Source organism: Homo sapiens, chromosome 5, assembly GCF_000001405.40.
Source record: "Homo sapiens chromosome 5, GRCh38.p14 Primary Assembly".
Lineage (NCBI taxonomy): Eukaryota > Metazoa > Chordata > Mammalia > Primates > Hominidae > Homo > Homo sapiens.
The window spans coordinates 57077189-57099130 of record NC_000005.10 but is presented as its reverse complement, the minus strand read 5'-3'; the positions used below and the strand labels follow the sequence as shown (position 1 = coordinate 57099130).

General features: G+C 41.1%; 5 annotated features.

The window, feature by feature from the left end:
- Positions 1123 to 1323: a silencer, noted in NCBI's record as "peak5252 fragment used in MPRA reporter construct". NCBI's record gives its function as "represses an SCP1 promoter by STARR-seq MPRAs in K562 erythroleukemia cells {active_cell/tissue: K562}" and the evidence as "EXISTENCE:reporter gene assay evidence [ECO:0000049][PMID:32103011]".
- Positions 3338 to 3837: an enhancer, noted in NCBI's record as "H3K4me1 hESC enhancer chr5:56391121-56391620 (GRCh37/hg19 assembly coordinates)". NCBI's record gives its function as "activates a minimal SCP1, AML or CMV promoter by ChIP-STARR-seq in naive H9 embryonic stem cells {active_cell/tissue: H9 hESC(naive)}" and the evidence as "EXISTENCE:reporter gene assay evidence [ECO:0000049][PMID:30033119]".
- Positions 3595 to 3715: a silencer, noted in NCBI's record as "fragment chr5:56391243-56391363 (GRCh37/hg19 assembly coordinates)". NCBI's record gives its function as "represses an EF-1alpha promoter that drives an FKBP-Casp9 reporter gene in an ReSE screen in phorbol 12-myristate 13-acetate-treated (for megakaryocytic differentiation) K562 erythroleukemia cells {active_cell/tissue: K562(+PMA)}" and the evidence as "EXISTENCE:reporter gene assay evidence [ECO:0000049][PMID:32094911]".
- Positions 4864 to 5365: an enhancer, noted in NCBI's record as "H3K4me1 hESC enhancer chr5:56389593-56390094 (GRCh37/hg19 assembly coordinates)". NCBI's record gives its function as "activates a minimal SCP1, AML or CMV promoter by ChIP-STARR-seq in primed H9 embryonic stem cells {active_cell/tissue: H9 hESC(primed)}" and the evidence as "EXISTENCE:reporter gene assay evidence [ECO:0000049][PMID:30033119]".
- Positions 15693 to 15862: an enhancer, noted in NCBI's record as "experimental_86327 CRE fragment used in MPRA reporter constructs". NCBI's record gives its function as "activates a minimal promoter by MPRAs in K562 erythroleukemia cells, with activity observed for the non-introgressed 5:56379181 variant allele {active_cell/tissue: K562}" and the evidence as "EXISTENCE:reporter gene assay evidence [ECO:0000049][PMID:34662402]".

The window sequence follows — 21942 nt, the reverse complement described above, 5'->3', positions numbered from 1 at the left end:
TGTATTTTTAGTAGAGATGAGTTTTCTCCATGTTGGTCAAGCTGGTCTCGAACTCCTGACCTCAGGTGATCTGCCCGCCTTGGCCTCCCAAAGTGCTGGGATTACAGGCACAAGCCACTGCGCTGGGCTGGTAATTTTTAAATTACCATTTCAACCTTGCTGCTTGTTATTGGTCTGTTCAGGGTATCTAATTCTTCCTGATTTAAGCTAGGAGGGTTGTATCTTTCCAAGAATTCATCCATCTCTTCTAGGTTTTCTAATTTATGTGCATAAAGATGTTCACAGTAGCCTTGAATTATCTTTTGTATTTCTGTGATGTCAATTTTAATATCTCCTGTTTCTTTTCTTATTGAGCTTATTTGGATTTTCTCTCTTTTTTCTTGGTTGATCTTGCTAATGGTCTATCAATTTTATTTATCTTTTCAAAGAACCAGCTTTTTGCTTTATTTATCTTTTGTATTTGTTGTTGTTTCAATTTCATTTAGTTCTGCTCTGATTTTGGTTATTTCCTTTCTTCTGCTGGGTTTGGGTTTGGTTTGTTCTTGTTTCTCTAGGTCTTTGAGGTGTGACCTTAGATTGTCTGTTTGTGTTCTTTCAGACTTTTTGATGTAGGCATTTAGGGCTATGAACTTTCCTCTTAGCACTGCCTTTGCTGTGTCCCAGAGGTTTTGATAGGTTGTGTCACTATTGTTGTTCAGTTCGAATAATTTTTAAATTTTCATCTTTATTTCATTTCTGACCCAATGATCATTCAGGAGCAGGGTATTTAATTTCTATGTATTTGCATGGTTTTGGAGGTTCCTTTTGGAGTTGATTTCCAGTTTTATTCCACTGTGGTCTCAGAGAGTGTTTGATGTAATTACAGTTTTTTAAAATTTATTGAGGTTCGTTTTGTGGCCTATCATATGTTCTATCTTGGAGAAAGTTCCATGCGCTATTGAATAGAGTGTATATTCTGTGGTTGTTGGATGGAATGTTCTGTATATATCTGTTAAGTCCATCTGTTCTAGGGTATAGTTTAAATCTTTAAATCTATTGTTTCTTTATTGACTTTCTGTCTTGATGACCTATCTAGTGCTGTCAGTGGAGTATTGAGGTTACCCACTATTATTATTGTCAGAAATAAATTTTGTTGCTGCAGAAGGAATAGCACTCAAACATAAATTTTCTCAGCAAGGCAATTTTACTTCTATAGAGGGGTGTGTCTTGCAGATGGAGCAATGGCGAGAGCACACCTGAACAATGGAGGGGAAGGGGTTCTTATCTTTGATGGAAGTAGTCCCTACTGCTGTGTCAGTCCCCTATTGGCGAGTGTTGAACCACACAGTCTAAGCTAATTCCGACCGACTATTTTAAAGGAGCAGGGGTATGAGCCAGAGTGGCGGGGTGAGCAGTTTCGTCAGTAAAGACAGTTACGGAACAGGTGACTAAAGGTGACTCAGGTCAGAGCAGGTGACCAAGGTTGACTCAGGATGGAGCAGGTGACCAGGGGAACAGATGTGAACTACTGATTGGAACTGGTGGGAAGGTTGTTTACTGAAACTAGGGGCGAGGAGAAGAAGAGAATGAGGAAGTTAAACTTTAAAATGGAGAACAAAGAACTGAACATACTGACATACTGATTCTTTGAAGAGAAACTTAGAACTCACTGTATTTAACATTATGTTGCTGTCTATCTCTTTTCTTAGATTTATTAGTAATTGTTTTATAAATTTGGGAGCTCCAGTGTTAGGTGCATATATGTTTAGGATTATGATATTTTCTTGTTAGGCAAGGCCTTTTATCATTATATAATGTCCCTCTTTGTCTTTTTTAACTGCTGTTGCTTTAAAGTTTGTTTTGTCTAATATAAGAATAGCTATTCCTGCGTGCTTTTTGTATCCATTTGCATGAAATATCTTTTTCCACCCCTTTACGTTAAGTTTGTGTGAGTCCTCATACCCATATAAGATGGTTGGTGAATTCTTATTCATTCTGCAATTCTTTATCTTTTAAGTGGAGCATTTAGACCACTTACATTCAATGTTAGTATTGAGATGTGAGGTACCATTCCATTCATCATGTTATTTGTTGCCTGTATACCTTGATGTTTTTTTTTTAATTGTGTTTTTGTTTTATAGGTCTTGTGTGATTTATGTTCTAAAGAGGTTCTGTTTTGATGTGTTTCCAGGATTTGTGTCAAGATTTAGAGCTCCTTTTAACAGTTCTTGTACTGATGGGTTGGTAGTGGTAAATTCTCTCAGCATTTGTTTGTCTGAAAAAGACTGTATCTTTTCTTCATATATGAAGCTTAATTTTGCTGGATACAAAATTCTTGGCTGATAATTGTTTTGTTTGAGGAGGCTGAAGATATGGCCTCAGTCCCTTCTAGCTTGTAGGTTTTCTGCTGAGAAATCTGCTGTTAATCTGATAGATTTTCCTTTATGTGTTACCTGGTGCTTTTGTCTCTCAGCTGTTAAGATTCTTTCCTTCATCTTAACTTTAGATAACCTGATGACAATGTGTCTAGACGATGATCTTTTTGTGATGAATTTTCCAGGTGTTTTTGTGCTTCTTGCATTTGGATGTCTAGGTCTCTAGCAAGGTTGGGTAAGTTTTCCTCAATTATTCCCCCAAATATGTTTTCCAAACTTTTAAATTTCTCTCCTTTCTCAAGAACAGCAATTATTCTTATATTTGGTCATTTAACATAATCCCAGACTTCTTGGAGGCTTTGTTTATATTTTCTTATTCTTTTTTCTTTGTCTTTATTGGATTGGGTTAATTCAAAGACCTTGTCTTTGAGCTCTGAATTTCTTTCTTCTACTTGTTCAATTCTATTGCTGAGACTTTCCAGGGCATTTTGCATTTCTATAAGTGTGTCCATTGTTTCCAAAAGTTTTGATTGTTTTTTATTTATGCTATCTATTTCCTTGAATATTTCTCTCTTCACTTCTTGTATCATATTTTGGATTTGCTTACACTGGGCTTCACCTTTCTCTGCTGCCTCCCTGATTAGCTTAACAACTAACCACCTGAATTCTTTTTTGGGTAAATCTGGATTTCTTCTTGGTTTGGGTTCATTGCTGGTGAGCTAGTATGATTTTTTTGGGGGGTGTTAAACAACCTTGTTTTGTCATATTACCAGAGTTGGTTTTCTGGTTCCTTCTTATTTTGGTAGTTTCTGTCAGAGGGAAGGTCTAGGGCTGAAGGCTGTTGTTCAGATTCTTTTGTCCCATGGGGTGTTCCCTTGATGTAGTACTCTCCCCCTTTTCCTATGTATGTGGCTTCCTGAGAGCTGAGCTGTAGTGATTATTATAACTCTTCTGGATCTAGCGACCCAGCAAGTCTACCAGGCTCTGGGCCAGTACTGGAGGCTGTCTGCACAGAGTTCAGTGATGTGAACCGTCTGTGGGTCTCTCAGCTGTGGATATCAGCACCTGTTCTAGTGGAGGTGGCAGAGGGGTGAAATGGACTCTATGAGGGTTCTTAGCTTTGATGGTTTAATGCCCTACTTTTATGCTGGTTGCCTCCTGCCAGGAGGTGGCGCTTTCCAGAGAGCATCAGCTGTGGTAGTATGGAGAGGAACAGGCAGTGGGTGGGGCCCTAGAACTCCCAAGAATGTATGCCCTTTGTCTTCAGTTACCAGGGTGGGTAGGGAAGGACCATCAGATGGGGCAGGGCTAGGCGTGTCTGAGCTCAGACTCTCCTTGGGCGGGTCTTGCTGTGGCTGCTGTAGGGGATGGGGCTGAGGTTCCCAGGTCAATGGAGTTGTGTACCTAGGAGGATTATGGCTGCCTCTTTTGTGTCATGCACGTTGTCAGAGAGGTTGGGGAAAGCTGGCAGTCACAGGCCTCACCCAGCTCCCACGCAATCCAAAGGGCTGGTCTCACTCCCACTGTGCAACCCTACAACAGCACCTAGTCTGTTTCCAGGCAGTGGGAGAGCAGAGCTAAAAACTTGCCCCAGGCTACCCGCCTCCTAGCTGTGAAAGCAAATATGCCTTTCCTTCTACCCCAGCCTGTGGAGTCTGCACACTGGATTCACACCCTCCCCTGAGTTCTGGCCAGGAGGCTTCTCTATCAGTTCAAATTGTTACAGAGTTCAGCTGGAGATTTCCTTCTCCCTGTGGCCTTGGCCCAGCACCTCTGGCCGCTCTCCTGGAGGACCCCTGTGAGACCAGGCAGAAACAGGTTGCTAGGGGACCCAGGGAGCTCCCAGGGGTTTTCCTGCTGCTTCCTCTACCCCTGTATTTCACTCAGCTCGCTAAACTGACTCAGTTCCAGATAGGGTCGAAATCTTCTCCCATAATCTAGGCCTTCAGTTTCCCCAGTGGGTGTGTTCGGGGTGGACCATCTCCCTTTCCCACTTCCACAGTTTTGGCACTCACAGTATTTGAGGTGTCTCCCTGGTCCTGCAGGAGCAATCTGCTTCCTTCAGGAGGTCTGTGGGTCCTCTCCTGAGAGGACCTGATTTATTCCTGCAGTTGTTCTGGGGCAAAAATTCACGATGTCAGCTTCCATGTGCTGCCTCTACTTTAAAAAAAGAGAAAAAAATACTATCACCTGATACACAGTCCATACTCAGTTTTCACTGATTATTTCAATGTTATCCTTTGTAGCAACACTATCCTGCCAGAACCAAGATTCTATCTTGTCCCTTTAGTCTCCTTTACTCTAGAACACTTACTCAGCCTTTCACTGAAACTAAGACATATTAATTTTTATTAATCAGGAAACATAAGGCCAGGTGCGGTGGCTCACTTCTAACCCCAGCACACTGGGAGGCCGAGGTGGGAAGATCACTTGAGGTCAGGAGTTTGAGACCAGCCTGGCCAACATGGCAAAACCCCATTTCTACTAAAAAATACAAAAAACTAGCTGGGCATGGTGGCACATGCCTATAGTCCCAGCTACTCAGGAGGCTGAGGAGGGAGAACCGCTTGAGCCCAGGAGGCAGAGGTAACAGTGAGCCGAGATAGTGCCACTGCACTCCAGCCTGGGCAATAGAGCGAGACTCTGTCTCCATTAAAAAAAGAAAGAAAGAAAGAAAAAGAAAGAAGAAAGAAAGAAAGAAAGAAAGAAAGAAGAACAAATACATAAATACAAGTAATGAGACATATGCTAGGGGTGAATATTTTAAATATCATTTCATTTTATAACAGGAGGCCTTTGCAATAGTTCATGTGTGAAAAAATGAGAACCATTCTCTTTTCTTTTTTTTTTTTTGAGATGGAGTCTTCCTCTTATCACCCAGGCTAGAGTGCAATAGCATGATCTTGGCTCACCGCAACCTCCGCCTCCCGGGTTCAAGCGATTCTCCTGCCTCAGCCTCCCAAGTAGGTGGGATTACAGGCATGTGTCACAATGCACAGCTAATTTTTGTGTTTTTAGTAGAGACGAGGTTTCACCATATTGGCCAGGCTGGTCCTGAACTCCTGACCTCAGGTGATCCACCCACCTCGGCCTCCCAAATTGCTGGGATTACAGGTGTGAGCCACTATGCCTGGCCGAGAACAATTTTTTTTTTTTTTTTGAGGCAGAGTTATGCTCTTGTTGCCCAGGCTGGAGTGCAATGGCGCAATCTTGGCTCAATGCAACCTCCACCTCCTGGGTTCAAGCAATTCTCCTGCCTCAGCCTCCTGAGTAGCTGGGATTACAGTCAACCCGGCTAATTTTTTTTTTTTTTTTTTTTTTTTTGAGACGAAGTCTCACTCTGTCGTCAGGCTGGAGTGCAGTGGCATGATCTCGCTGGGCATGTTGGCTCATGCCTGTAATCCCAGCACTTTTAGATAGCCCTTTCCCAGCTTTGGCACTGAAAGTCCACCCAGAAACCCTCTATTTCTGGGCAAAATGGGAGAATTAATTACACTATAATCAGTAGACCATTAGTGACATGAATGTGAGGCCCCTAGAATGGTGAAGTTAGAGAGACAGAGACATCTGTGTAAAGGTGATCATTGAAACTTTGGGAGACATTGTCACAACTCAGGGACAAAAATCCAGGTGAGAACGCCTCAAAGGATTAACTAGAAGCTGAGACCCAAAGCACCTCTTTTTGGGCAAGCAATTTTCCTAGCCTAACGATAATAAAGCAAGGATTAACTTACCTACAATGCCTTTTAAGTTTTGTTTTTGTTTTTGTTTTTGTTTTTTGAGACGGAGTCTAGCTCTGTTGCCCAGGCTGGAGTGCAGTAGCACAATCTTGGATCACTGCAACCTCTGCCTCCCAGGTTCCAGGGATTCTCCTGCCTCAGCCTCCCAAGTAGCTGAGATTACAGGTGCACACCACCATGTCCGGGTAATTTTTGTATTTTTAGTAGAGATGGGGTTTCACCATGTTGGCCAGGCTGGCCTCGAACTCCTGAACTTAAGTGATCCACCAACCTCGGCCTCCCAAAGTGCTGGGATTACAGGAGTGAGCCACCACCCCCTGCCTTAAATTATTCTTTATACCACTGTGAGCTGTTCATAAACTTACTGTCTTAGGAACAGAAATGAAATAAAATTCCTTATCCATCTAGGTGGTTGCTATCATTCCTTCAATCTGTGATTTCTTTACTAGACTCGTTATTAATTTGAGATATTTAATTTCTTTTTTAGTGTTACTCATTTTTTTTTTTTTTCTGAGATGGAGTCCTGCTCTGTCACCCAGGCTGGAGTGCAGTGGCACGATCTCAGCTCATTGCAACCTCTGCCTCCTAGGTTCAAGTGATTTTCCTGCCTCAGCCTCCCGAGTAGCTGGGATTACAGATGCCTATCACCATGCCTGGCTAATTTTCGTTTTTTTAATAGAGATGGGGTTTCACCATGTTGGCCAGGCTGGTCTCAAACTCCTGACCTCAGGTGATCCACCCACCTTGGCCTCCCAAAGTGCTGGGATTACAGGTGTGAGGCACTGCGCCTGATCTCATTTTTTTTCATTTAATTATTTACAACCACTTTCCACAGCTGCTTGTGATTATTACCTTTCCATTCTGAATTATTTCCCAGTATAGCCTTTTCTGCAATATGCTCCATTTTCTGCATCATGAGTTTCAGCAGAATAGATCTTTAGATAGATAAAATAGGAATAAATTTAAAAGTTTGTTCAGCTATGGATCTTGTAAAAATCATAGGAACTGTACTTTTTCTATATTATTTCCCCAAAATAAGGAATATACTTAGACTTCAGTTGATGTATAGCATCGTTGTATTAATAAGTTACACACAGTTTTTTTCATCTAATTGTTTGTCCTTGTTTTGTCAAAAATGTTTTAACTTATTAAGTCAAGGATAAGTAATTAGTTTGGCTCAAGGTCTTAATTACAGGTCTTACAGGGACCCGAAGTCATTTTTACTGCACTCCCATCCAGGGCTATTCCTGCTTTTGCTTCTATACTTAGCTTTCCTGATGACAGCAGATGCTAAACTTGACACATCCATATACAGGCATACCTCAGAGATATTGCGAGTTTGGTCCCAGACCATTGCAATAAAGCCAATATTGCAATAAAGTGAGTAACACAAATTTTCTGGTTTTCCAGTGCATATAAAAGTTATGTTTGCACTATACTGTAGTCTATTAAATGTGTAAATCATTATGTTAAAAAAACACTTTAATTTAAAAATACGTTGTTACTTAAAAATGATCATCTGAGCCTCCAACAAGTCATAATCTTTTTGCTCATGGAGGGTCTTATCTCAGTGTTGATGGTTGTTGACTGATAATGTTGGTGGTTGCTGAACGTTGGAATAGCTGTGGTAATTTTTTTTTTTTTTTTTTTGAGACAGAGTCTCACTCTGTTGCCCAAGCTGGAATACAGCAGTGCAGTCATAGTTTATTACAATCTCAAACTGCTGGCCTCTAATGATCCTCCCTCCTTGGCCTTCAAAAGTGCTGGGATTACAAGTGTGAGCCACTGTAACCAGCTGCAATTTCTTAAAATAAGACAACAATGAAGTTTGCCACGTTGATTGACTCTTTTGTAAAAGATTTCTCTGTAGCATACAATGCTGTTTGATAGCATTTTACCCACAGTAAATCTTTCAAAATTGGAGTTTGTCCTTTGAAACTCTGCTGCTGCTTTATCAACTACATTTATGTAATATTCTAAATCTTTTGTTGTCGTTTCAACAATGTTCATGGCATCATCACCAGGAGTGGATTTCATCTCAAGAAACCACATTTTTTTTGCTCATTCATAAGAAGCAACTCCTCATCTGTTCAAGTTCTATCATGAGATTACAGTAATTCAGTCACATCTTCAGGATCAATTTCTAGTTCTAATTCTCTTGCTATCTCCAGCACATCTGCAGTTACTTCCTCTGCTGCAGTTTTAAACCTTTCAAAATTATCCATGAGGATTGGAATCAACTCCTTCCGAATGCCTGTTAATGTTGATATTTTGACTTTTCCCTTGAATAATGAAGATTCTTTTTTTATTTTTACTTTTTTTTTAACCTTATTTACACTGAAGGACTAAAATGTTCCTAATGGCATCTAGAGTGGTGAATCCTTTCCAGCAGATTTTCAATTTACTTTGCCCAGATCCATCAGAAGCATCACTCTGTGGCAACTATAGCATTATGAAATGTACTTTATTTATTTTTTCGAGATGGGGTCTCACTCTGTCACCAAAGTTGGAGTGCAGTGGTGCAATCTCAGCTCACTGCAGTCTCCACCTCCCATGCTCAAGTGGTCCTCCTACCTCAGCCTCCCGAGTGTCTGGGACCACAGGCGCATGCCACACTCAGGTAATTTTTTGTATTTTTGGTTGAGATGGGGTTTTACCATGTTGCTCAGGCTGGGAAATGTACTTTTTTTTTTTTTTTTTTTGAGATGGAGTCTCGCTCTGTCATCCAGGCTGGATTGCAGTGGCACAATCTTGCCTCTGCCTCCCAGGTTCAAGCAATTCTCCTGCCTCAGCCTCCCGAGTAGCTGGGACTACAGGCATGTGCCACCACGCCCGGCTAATTTTTGTATTTTTAGTTGAGAAGGGGTTTCACCATATTGGCCAGGCTGGTCTCGAACTCCTGACCTTGTGATCCACCCACCTCAGCCTCCTAGAGTGCTGGAATTACAGGTATGAGTCACCATGCCTGGCCTGGAAATGTACTTCTTAAGAAATAAGACTTGAAAGTCAAAATTACTGCTGATCCAGGGGTTACAGAATGAATGCTGTGTTGGCAGGCATTAAAACAACATTAATCTCCTGTACATCGTGAAGGAAATAATGTATATGATGGTCCATTTCCAAGACAAAGTGCCTTGAATAGGCTTGGGTCCGCAAACTACAGAAAGACAGAATATACTAGGCCCCTGCTTTAATAGCCAGCACCTACTTGTTGGGGCCCCACTTAGTTGCCCTCATCAGAACCAAAGAAGTTTAATCTAGAATAAAAGTTTACTAGACTGCAAAATAGCTCACTTTATCTATTCCTATCAGCTCGCCTGACTACCTAGGTCATAAGTCAAATACTTGAAAAGCCCCTGAGCTGACTGTGATTGCAATGCATTGTAGGCTGCAACAAAATGCAGTGAGATAACCCTAAATAAGACACCTAAAAGCGCCTACCTAACAACCAATAGGCGACGTCTGGAAAGATTGTGACCCCATAGTACTCAGCCTATGAGGAACCAGGTGAGGGATCTGTATACTAGGGGATAAATGGCTTGTTGTAACCATGCTGTGTGTGTCTGCGCATCAGACACCCGATCTTGCAAGAATGTCATTAAAAATCTTGCTCCCACTATTCCCTGTGTCTCTGAGTCCATTCTTTGGGTTTGGAGAGGTAAGTTTGTTTCTCACGATCTCCATCAGAGCTCTTGGGTGACCAGGTACATTGTCAATGAGCAGTAATATTTTGAAATGAATCATTTTTTCTAAGCAATAGGTCTCAACAGTGGGCTTAAAATATTCAATGAACAATCCTGTAAACAGGTGTGCTATCATACAGGCTCTTTTGTTCCATTTATGGAGCACAGGCAGAGTAGATTTATCATAATTCTTAAGGAACCCAGGATTTTTGGAATGGTAAGTGTGCACCAGCTTCAACTTCAAGTCATCAGCTGCATAAGCCCCTAACAAGAAAGTCAGCATGTCCTTTGAAACTTTGAAGCCAGGCATTGACTTCTCCTGCCTAGCTATGAAAGTCCTAGATGGCATCTTCTTCCAATAGAAGGCTGTTTCATCTACATTGAAAATGTGCTGCTTATAATAGCCAACTTCATCAATGGTCTTAGCTAGATCTTCAGAATAACTTGCAGCTTCTACATCAGCTCTTGTTGCTTCACTTTGCCTTTGATGTTATAAAGATGGCTTCTTTCCTTAAACCTTTGCTAGCATCAAACTTTTCTTCTGCAGCTTCTTCACTTCTCTCAGCCTTCATAGAATTGAAGAGTTAGGGCCTTGTTCTGGATTAGGTTTGGTTTACAGGAATGTTGTGGCTGGTTTGATGTTTAATCTATTAAAACTTTCTCCAAATCAGCAATGTATCTGTTTTGCTTTCTTATCACTCATTTGTTCACTGGAGTAGCACTTTTAATTTTTTTCAAGACCTTTTCAAAAAAAAAAAAAAAAGGACTTTTCCTTTGCATTCACAACTTGGCTGTTTGGCACAAGAGGCCTGGCTTTTTTTTTATATATTCCAAGTTTGTATATTTTATTATTAAAATTTTTTTTTTTAAATTATACTTTAAGTTCTGGGATACATGTGCAGAGTGTGCAGGTTTGTTACATAGGTATACACGTGCCATGGTGGTTTGCTGCACCCATTAACCCATCATCTACATTAGGTATTTCTCCTAATCCTGTTCCTCCCCTAGCCCCCTCACCCCCAACAGGCCCCTGTGTGTGATGTTCCCCTCCCTGTGTCCATGTGTTCTCATTGTTCAATTTCCACTTATGAGTGAGAAGATGTGGTGTTTGGTTTTCTGTTCCTGTGTTAGTTTGCTGAGAATGATGGTTTCCAGCTTCATCCATGTCCCTGCAAAGGACATGAACTCATCCTTTTTTATGGCTGCATAGTATTCCATGGTGTTTACGTGCCACATTTTCTTTACCCAGTCTATCATTGATGGGCATTTGGGTTGGTTGCAAGTCTTTGCTCTTGTGAATAGTGCTTCAATAAACATACATTTGCATGTGTCTTTATAGTAGAATGATCTATAATCCTTTGGGTATATACCCAGTAATGTGATTGCTGGGTCAAATGGTATTTCTGGTTCTAGATCCTTGAGGAATCACCACACTGTCTTCCACAATGGTTGAACTAATTTACACTCCCATAAACAGTGTAAAAGAGTTCCTATTTCTCCACATCCTCTCCAGCACCTGTTGTTTCCTGACTTTTTAATGATTGCCATTCTAACTGGTGTGAGATGGTATATCATTGTGGTTTTGATCTGCATTTGTCTAATGACCAGTGATGATGAGCTTTTTTTCATATGTTTGTTGGAGAGGCCTAGCTTTTGGCCTACCTTGGGTTTTTTGTTTTTTCTTTTTCTTTTTTAAAAACAAAAACAAACACAGTTTCACTCTGTCACCCAGGCTGGAGTGCAATGGTGTGATCTCAGCTCACTGCAACCTCCACCTCCTGGGTTCAAGCAATTCTTGTGCCTCAGCCTCCTGAGTAGCTGGGATTACAGGCATGTGCTACTACACCTGGCTAATTTTTGTATTATTAGTAGAGACGGGGTTTTACCATGTTAGCCAGGCTGGTCTCGAACTCCTGACCTCAGTTGATCCACCTGCCTTGGCCTCCCAAGGTGCTGGTATTACAGGTGTGAGCCACCACACCCAGCCCTGCCTTGGGTTTAGATGTGCCTTCTTCACGAAGCTTAATCATTTCTAGTTTTTGTTTTAATGTGAGAGATGTGTTATTCCTCCTTTCACTTGAACACATGGAGGCCATGGTGGGGTTACTAATTGGCCTAATTTTAATATTGTGTCTCAGAGAATAGGGAGGCTGAGGAGAGGGAAAGAGACAAGAGGAACAGCCAAGTCAGAGGAGCAGTCAGAGGATACACAACATTTATCAAGTTCACTGTCTCATATGAGCGTGGTTCATAGCAGCCCAAAACAGTTACAATGGTAACATCAAAGATCACTGATCACAGATCACCATAACAGGTACAATAATAATAAAAAAGTTGGAAATCTTGTGAGAATTACCAAAATGTGGATGCAGTGACACCAAGTGAGCACGTGCTGTTAAAAATGGTGCCAGTGGACTTGGTCAATCCAGGATTGCCACAAACCTTCAATTTGTAAAAAATACAGTATCTATAATGAAAGCATTGCAAAAGAAAATCCACAAAGTGCAATAAAATGAGGTACGCCTGTAATACTGTGATGCCTTATGTTTCTGCGGCAGTTTTTCATACTTATTTGATTCCTACGGCTGTGAAGTGGATAGTTCAAGTTCTGCTATCATTCTCATTTCAAAAAATGAGGCACCTGAGATGCAAAGTGAGTTGACAAATGTCACAAGATGAATCAATGGAGGTGCTAGCAGAGGAGGCAGAGACAGAATCTCTGACTCCTAAGCTGATAGTCTTACAACATCAGATGCCACTTGATGCTCATATAATGTCACCCAAAGGTATAAAACATACCTGAAATTTGAATATGTGACCTTGCTAGCCACGTTGCCCCCATTTTTGCCCATTATTTTGTTGAATTCTAGCCCATAGTTAAAAATTTAAACCCACAGGGCTGAGCACGGTGGCTCACGTCTGTAATCCCAGCACTTTGGGAGGTCGAGGCAGGTGGATCACTTGAGGTCGGGAGTTCGAGACTAGCCTGGTCAACATGGTGAAACCCCATCTCTACTAAAAATGACAAAAAATTAGCTGGGTGTGGTTGCAGGTGCCTATAATTCCAGCTACTCAGGAGATTGAGGCAGGAGAATCACTTGAACCCCGGAGGCAGAGGCTACAGTGAGCCAAGATTGTGGCACTGCACTCCAGCCTGGGTGACAGAGCGAGACTCCGTCTGAAAAAAAAAAAAATTAAACCCACGGGATAGAAACTGACTTATTACATGTGGAATATAGTGAGAAGAATTTGAGAGAATGAATTTCTTTTGCTCCCTCTCCCCCATGCCCACCACCTATGTATGCTCAAGTCCCCGAAGTGTCTCAGTGGGCTCTGTATACAACTGTGGCAGATTGTATTTTCAAAAGATGGCCACAACAATATCTCCAAGCCCACATGCTCTTCTTATGACGTGCTGTGCCTTTGACTCTTCTGTTATAGAGAGGTGGTATCTATGATCCCTTCCCTTCAATGTGACTGGGTGACACTATGTGACTTCTGAGAATAGACCACAGAAAGTGGTGATGAAGTCTGCCTGGTTCCCTTGGGGCACTTACTTTTGGAACCTGGCCAACATGCTGTGAGGATGCCCAAGATGCCACATGGAGTGTCCATGTGAAGGTATTCCTGTCAATAACTCCAATTAGGTGCTCAGCCAACAGTCAACATTAATGACCGGACATCTAATAAGTGAGTCTTCAGATGACTGCAGTCCCCAGTCTAGATGGACTATCTTGACTCCCTCCTGTCCTGGGCAAACCAAGACAGTCAATTATCCTACCTAGGTGTTGAGTCACATTATCTCCTCTGCCCCTGCCACACTAGCTTTGGAGTCTTCCTAGCTGAGGCCCCAGACCTCATGGAACAGAGACAATTGCTCAAGCTGTGCCCTTTCAAGATTGTTGACCAACAGGATCTGTGAGCATAATATCCTGGTTGCTGTTTTATGCCACTGAACTTGGGATGGTTCAGCAAAAGATAATTGGAACAACTTCTGAGGATTTAGTATCTTTCACCTTTACATGATTCAAAGCTCCAAGCAAAATATCTCCTTCAAAGTGAAACAATTCAAGCACAGCCCAAACCTAGACAAAGGATTTCAGGGGACTGAAATTTCCTCCCCAGCCTAGCAATCTGACACCTAACTTCTATAGTGGAAGATTTAGTCTACAGTCCAATCTAAGCCTGGGGATGTTACTAGTTAAGCTATTGTCTGTCTTTTTATGCACTTGGATGAGTAATTGGAATATATGATCTCTAATAGCACATACAACCCTAGAATTACAGGATTTACATGTTGTATTAGTTCGTTCTCACACTGCTATAAAGAACTACCTGAGACTGGGTAATTCATGAAGAAAAGAGGTTTAATTGACTCATGGTTCCACAGGCTTAACAAGAAGCATGACTGGGAGGCCTCAGGAAACTTACAATCATGGAGGAAAGTGAAGGGGACGCAAGAACCTTCTTCACTTGGTGGCAGAAGAGAGAGAGAGGGGGAGTGCCACACTTCTAAACAATCAGATCTCATGAGAACTCACTCACTACCACGAGAACGGCATGGGGGAAATCCGCCCCCATGAGGCAATCACCTCCCACCTCCCACCTCCCCTGACATGTGAGGATTACAATTCGACATGAGATTTGGGTGGGCACACAGAGCCAAACCATATCACATGTTAATGTAAATGAATTGATCATTTAGTTTAGTGGAAGCAGTTTTTCGTACAGGACCTGGAAGGGCAAATATGAAAACAATGTGTTCCTGAAAATAAGTGATGAGCTTGGTCCGCCCATTGTTGTTTCTCTCCTGTATCATCAGCCTGAGACTGAGGTGTTTTCCACTGCTCAAGGCAGGTGCCTCTGGCCACATTTAAACATATTAAGTCTGTCCAGTACTCCTAGCTCTCTACTGCTTTTCACGACCAAGCTATTTCATTTTTTATTTTGAACCTTAAAAATTAAAATATAAACAAGGAACAAAAAAATATACAAACCATAAAAGTGAAGTTTACTGGATTATCACAAAATACATTCCTTGATCACCTTTCAAGGCAACAAAGTAAATATTGCTAACACACCAGAAACCCCTCTCATGCCCAATCCCAATCATTGCATCCTCCCTTACCCCAAAGGCAATCTCTTGGCTTTAACACCAGAGTTTAGCTATGCTTGTTCAAACTTTATGTAAGTGGAATCATGTAGTATATCGTTAGCATGTGGCTTCTCTTGTTCATCGTTGTGCTTCTCAGATTCATACATGTTGCTCCACATAGCTATTTCTTTCTGTATAGTGTTCCACTATATGTATATACTACAACTTACTTATGTATTCCATTGTTGATGGGCATTTTTGCTATTCTTAGTTTTTGGATATAACAAATGTATTGCAATAAACATTTTGATACATTTCTGTTGGTCTGTTAGATATATATCTAAGACTGGAATTACTGTATCATAGGATATGTGCATATTCACATATTTAGCTTTAGTAGGGAATATCAAATAGTTTCCTTTTTTTTTTTTTAAGAGACATAGTCTCACTCTGTCTCTCAAGCAGTAGTGCAGTGGCTCGATCATGGCTCACTGCAGCCTCGAACTCCTGGACTCAAGTGATCCTTCTACCCCAGCCTCCCGAGTAGCTGGGACCACAGGCACCCACCACTGTGCCTGGTTAATTAAAAAACATTTTTTCTTTTTTGTAGAGACAGGGTCTCACTATACTGCCCAGGCTGCTCTGGAACACCTGAGCTCAAGCAATCCTCCCGCCTCAGCCTCCCAAAGTGCTGAAATTACTGGGGTGAGCCACCATGCCCAGCCAGTTTCCAAACTTACACCAACTTACACTCCCTGCAGCAGTGGATGCAAGCTTTCCTTGCTCCACATCCTCATCAACACTTGGTATTGTTAATTATTTCAATTTAAGCTATATTGAAATGTGTAGTACTGTCTTGTTAAGGCTTTAATTTGGATTTCTCTGTTTATTAATGAGTTTGAGCGTATTTTTATGTCATTAGCCATTTGAATATTATTTTTTTGTGAAATAAAGGGACACTTTAAGCCTCCTGCCCATTTTTTTTTAAAAAGATGTGTCTATTGAATAATGGAAGAAATAATCCATATTTTTTCATTCAGATTTATAGAGTATTTTTTTGTTGTTGTTTTGTTTTTTTTTTGAGACTGAGTCTCGCTCTGTCACCCAGGCTGGAGTGCCATGGCACAATATCGGCTCACCGCAACCTCCGCCTCCCGCCTCCCAGGTTCATGCAATTCTCCTGCCTCGGCCTCCTAGACTAGCTGGGACTACAGGTGTGTGTCACTGTACCTGGCTAATTTTTTGTATTTTTAGTACAGACAGGGTTTCACCGTGTTAGCCAGGATGGTATCGATCTCCTGACCTCGTGATCTGCTCGCCTTGGCCTCCCAAAGTATTGGGATTACAGGTGTGAACCACCACGCCCAGCGGAGATTTTTTTTTAATGAGGACTTCCAGGTTTCAGTTTCATATGTAATGAGCCTAGAAGTTGCCACTTCATCCTAACAATTGAAAAGCTGAATGGACTGAAAAATCAGCAACACTTCTTGGATCTACAAGAGAGTTGGGAACACTGGGAAAACTGCTTCCCCCAAGATTGTAGAGACAGACAGGGTATCCCAGGGAATCATGATTTACCAGAGCAGAGACTCATGAATGGAAATTACTGCCAGGAACCAGTAGGAGTCATAATTTACCACAGCAGAGACTCATGAATGGAAATCACTGCCAGCCAGGATAGGAAAACTTGAACTGAAATTGACAGATTGCTAAAGGCTCAGTACAGACAAGTCTGACAGTTTAAAAAACCTAGGGGGACCTACTCATAACCCATTCCCCCAACTTTTGCGAGTTTTACCTCCAGGAGCTTGACCAGCTTCTCACAGGAAGTATCAGAGAAAAATCTTCTCATGCTTCTGGCAGGAGGAGGGGATAAGGAGGCATTTTGAAATATGCCAGAGCACCCTGTTCTTCTTAATAAGTAGAAACTAGTTAACCAGATCCTAACCTGCTGGGGCATTATCAGAGCCTAACTAGCTGAGGAAAAGGGAAATACCTAATTCCAGCCCACTATAGAGAATGCTTCCCCTGCTCTCCGCACCTTCCTACCACATCACTAAAGGCCTATTTACAGGAGTTCCTTTTACTCAGTACACCATTTCTGGCTATCAATGTAAAATTACAAGGCATACTAAAAGGCAAAAACACAAATTGAAGAGACAGAGCAAGGATCAGAGCCAGACATGACAGGGATATTAAAATTATCAGACCAGGAATTTAAAACAACTATGGGCCATCCCTTTCTCCATCAGCCAGGAAGGGCATTGGTGTTGAGACTGACATACCAATTAAGAACAGTAACTACCAGGGCTTCCAGAGCTTTGACAGAACCTCAGTTGCTTGGCCTTCTGACCAAGTGTCTGTGATTTCATATTGTTGGAGTATTTGTTGTAGCTCTTTATAACTTTGCTGTGGCTGAACCCAGAAAGAAAGCATCTATAGATTTCTAAAAAAATTGTAATCCCATGAAAAATTTTGTGGAGATGAGGAAAGTGCAAAGTGATTTCAGAATATAAAGAATTTATTTGTGTTGTATTACCTAGAAGTTTGTCATTGACCTGTGTTCCTGAACTATGAAATATGAATATGTGGGCTAAGAAATAGTTTCCTTTGATAAATAAACAATTATCAAATACTTTGGACAGTTAAAAAAAATAAAACAACTATGATGAATATGCAAAGGACTCTAATGGATAAAGTACATAACATGCAAAACCAGGTGGTTGGCTGGGCACGGTGGCTCACGCCTGTAGGGAGACTCAGGAGGGTGGATCACCTGAGGTCAGGTGTTTGAGACCAGCCTGGCCAACATGGTGAAACCCTGTCTCTACTAAAAATACAAAAAATTGGCTGGGCATGGTGGCATGCACCTGTAATCCCAGCTACTCAGAGGCTGAGGCAGGAAAATTGCTTGAACCCAGGAGGCAGAGGTTGCGGTGAGCTGAGATGGTGCCACTGCACTCCAGCCTGTGAGACAGAGTGAGATTCCATTTCAAAAAACAGACAAACAACAACAACAACAAAAACCCAAACCAGGTGGGCAATGCAAGCAGAGATGGAAATCCTAAGAAAGAGTAGAGAATCTCTGAGTTTGGGGATATTCCAATAGAAACCTCCAAAACTGAAAAGCAAACAGCATACAGACTGAAGAAAGAAAAAAAAAAGAACAGAATATCCAAGAACATGGCGACAACTACAAAAAATGTAAATACGCATAATGGGAACACCAAAAGAAGAAGAAAAAGAGAAGGGATAAGAAGACATATTTGAAACAATAATGACTGAGAATTTTCCCAAAGTGATGTTAGACACCAAACCACAGATCCAGGAAGCTCCGAGAACATGCAGGAGGATAAATGCCAAAAACAAAACCAAATTCCACAAAACTACACCTAAGCATATAATTTTTAAATTACAGAAAATCAAGCCAGGCATGGTGGCTCACACCTGTAATCCTAGCACTTTAGAAAGCCAAGGCAGGAGGATCGCCTTAGCTAGGGAGTTCAAGATCAGCCAGGGCAGCATAGTGAGACCTCGTCCCTAAAAAAAAGGAAAAAAAAGAAGAATAAAAAAAGAAAGAAAATCAAAGATAAAGAAAAAGTCCTGGAAGAAGCCACAGGAAAAAGCACCTTAGCTACAGAGGAGCAAAGATAAGAATAACATCCAATTTTTCCTCAGAAATCATGCAAGCAAGAAGAGAATGGAGTGAAATAAAGTGTTGAGTGAAAAAAAGGCTTTCATCCTAGAATTATGTACCCTGAAAAATTATTTTTCCAAAATGAAGGATAAATAAAGACTTTCTCAGACAAACAGAAATTGAGGGAATTTGTTATCAGTAAACTTGCCTTGCAAAAAATATTAAAGTAAGTTCTTTAGAGAGAAGGAAAATAATGTAGGTCAGATACTTGGATCTGTATAAAGAAAGGAAGAACATTTAAGGAGTGAGTGAAGATAAAAACTTTTTCTTACTTGACCTAACAGATATCAGTTTGTTAAAAACATAACAATAATGTATTCAGTTATATATGCATCTATATTTCTGTATGCTTATATGTAAATTAATGGCAGCAATGGTACAAGGAACAGGAGGGAGAAATTATTAGTATTATTATATTATTTGAGACAGAGCCTTGCTCTGTCCCCCAGGCTGGTGTGTGGTGGCACAATCTCAGCTCACTGCAACCTCCACCTCCCAGGTTCAAGCAATTCTCCTGCCTCAGCCTCCCAAGTAGCTGGGATTACAGGTGCACGCCACCATGCCCAGCTAATTTTTGTATTTTTTAGTAGAGACGGGGTTTCATCATGTTGGCCAGGCTGGCCTTGAACTCCTGACCTTGTGATCTGCCCACCTTGGCCTCCTAAAGTGCTGGGATTACAGACATGAGCCACTGCGCCCGGCCTAGTATTATTTTGTTATTATAAAGTATTCATACTATCAGTGAAGTGGTATAGTGTTATTGAAAGTGGACTGGATTAGTTGTAAATGTATTTTGCAAAGTCTAGGGCAATGACTAAAAAGTTTTAAAAAAAGAAGTATAATTGATATTCTAAGAGAGAACATGGAATCATATGAAATGCTCAATTAAACCCACAAAACACAGTAAAAGACTTAAGACAAAAATAGGAACAAAGAACAAGGGCTACAAATAAAAAATAGTAATATGTATGGTAGATATTAATCCAACTATATCAACAATCACTTTGAACATCAATGATCAGAATGCACCCATTAAAAGACAGAGATTGTCAGAATGGATCAAAAAACAAGACCCAACTATATATAGCCTATAAGAAACCCACTTTAATTCCAATTAAATCAGAACAACAACAAAAGAAATCCACTTTAAATATAAAGATGCACATAGATTACAAATAAATGGATGAGCTGGGTTTGGTGACTCATGCCTATAGTCCCAGCTGCTTGGGAGGCTGGCAGGAGGGTCATTTGAGCCCAGGAGTTTGAGTCCAGCCTGGACAACATAGCAAGACCTTGTCTCTTAAAAACAAAAAGTAGACCGGGTGCGATGGCTCACGCCTGTAATCCCAGCACTTTAGGAGGCCGAGGCAGGTGGATCACCTGAGGTCAGGAATTCGAGACCAGCCTAGCCAACATGGTGAAACCCTGTCTCAACTAAAAATACAAAAATTAGCCGGACGTGGTGGCGGGTGCTTGTGACCCCAGCTACTCAGGAGGCTGAGGCAGGAGACTCGCTTGAACCTCGGAGGCGGAGGTCACAGTGAGCCGAGATCGTGCCACTGCACCTCAGCCTGGGGGACAGAGCGAGACTCTGTCAAAAAAAAAAAAAGCAAATTTATGTAGAAAAATATACTGTGCTAACCAGTAATCAAAAGAAAGCAGGAATAACTACAGCTAACCCCTAAAAAACATGGGCTTGAATGGTGGGGTCCACTTAGACACAGATTTTCTTCTGCCTCGGCCACCCACAAGACAGCAAGACCAACCCCTCCTCTTCCTCCTTCTCCTCAGCCTGCTTGCCATGAAGACGATGAAGATGAAGAACTTTATGATGATCCACTCCACTTAATGAATAGTAAATATATTTTCTCTTACTTATGTTTTCTTTTTTTCCCTTTTTTATTTATTTATTTATTATATCAATAGGTTTTTGGCGAACAGGTGGTATTTGGTTACATGAATAAGTTCTTTAGTGATGAGTTATGATTTTCTTAATAACATTTTTTTCTCTAGCTTACTTTATTGTAATAAAACAGTATGTAATACATATAACACCAAAGATGTGTTAATCAACTATGTTATCAGTAAGGCTTCTGGTCAATAGCAGACGATTAGTAGTTAAGTTTTTGGGGAGTCAAAAGTTACACACAGTTTGCCAGGCACAGTGGAGTATACCTATAAACCCAGCAACTCGGGGCCTGAGGTGGGAGAAGCGCTTGAGGCCAGGAGACCAGCCTGGGTAATATAACAAGACTCTGTTTCTAAAAAATAAAATAAAAACAAAACGTAAAATAAATAAAATATAAGTTTTATATGGATTTTCAACTATGCAAGGGGTCAGAGTTCTTAACCCCTATTTGTTCAACCCCTATGTTGTTCACTGTATACTAACTTCAGACAAAACAGACTTCAAACAAGGAGAGTTATCAAGAATAAAGAGGGACATCACATAATAATAAAGCAGTCAATTCTCAAAGAAGACAACAATTCTTAACATGTAGCATCTAACAACAGAGTGTCAATATATGTGAGATAAACAGAATTGCAAGGAGAAAGCAATGAATCCCACCATCAGTGGAGATTTCAACACTCCTCTATCAGAAATGGACAGATCCAGTAGGCAGAAAATCATTATGGACATAATTGAACTCAAAAACACTACCAAGGCTGGGCACGGTGGCTCACGCCTGTATTCCCAGCACTTTGGGAGGCCAAGGTGGGCGGATCACTTGAGGTCAGGAGTTCGTGACGAGCCTGGCCAACATGGTGAAACCCTGTCCCTACTAAAAAGACAAAAATTAGCTGGTGGCGTGCGCCTGTAATCCTCGCTACTTGGGAGGCTGAGACAGGAGAACCTGGGAGGCGGTGGTTGCAGTAAGCCGAGATCACGCCACTGGCCACTGCACTCCAGCCTGGGAGACAGAGAGAAACTCTGTCTCAAAAACAAAACAAAACAAAACAAAACACAAAAAAGCAAAAAAAGAAACCAAACAAACAACTCCCAAAAAACACTACCAAGAAACTGGATAAAATTAACATCTATAGACAACTTCATCCAGTAACAGCAGAATACACACTCTTTTCAAGCTCTCATAGAACATTCACTAAGACCACATTCTGGGCCATAAAATACACCTTAACACATTTAAAAGAATACAAATCACACAATTTCTGATTTCAGGTCACAGTAGACTTAAATGAGAAATCAACAACAGAAAGGTAACTGGAGAAATCCCAAAATCTGTGGAGATTAAACAACAGACTTCTAAATAATAAATGGGTCAAAGACTAAATGAAAAAGTATTTTGAACTGAATGAAAATGAAAATACCACTTATCAAAATTGGTAAGATGCAGCGAAAGCAGTGCTTAGA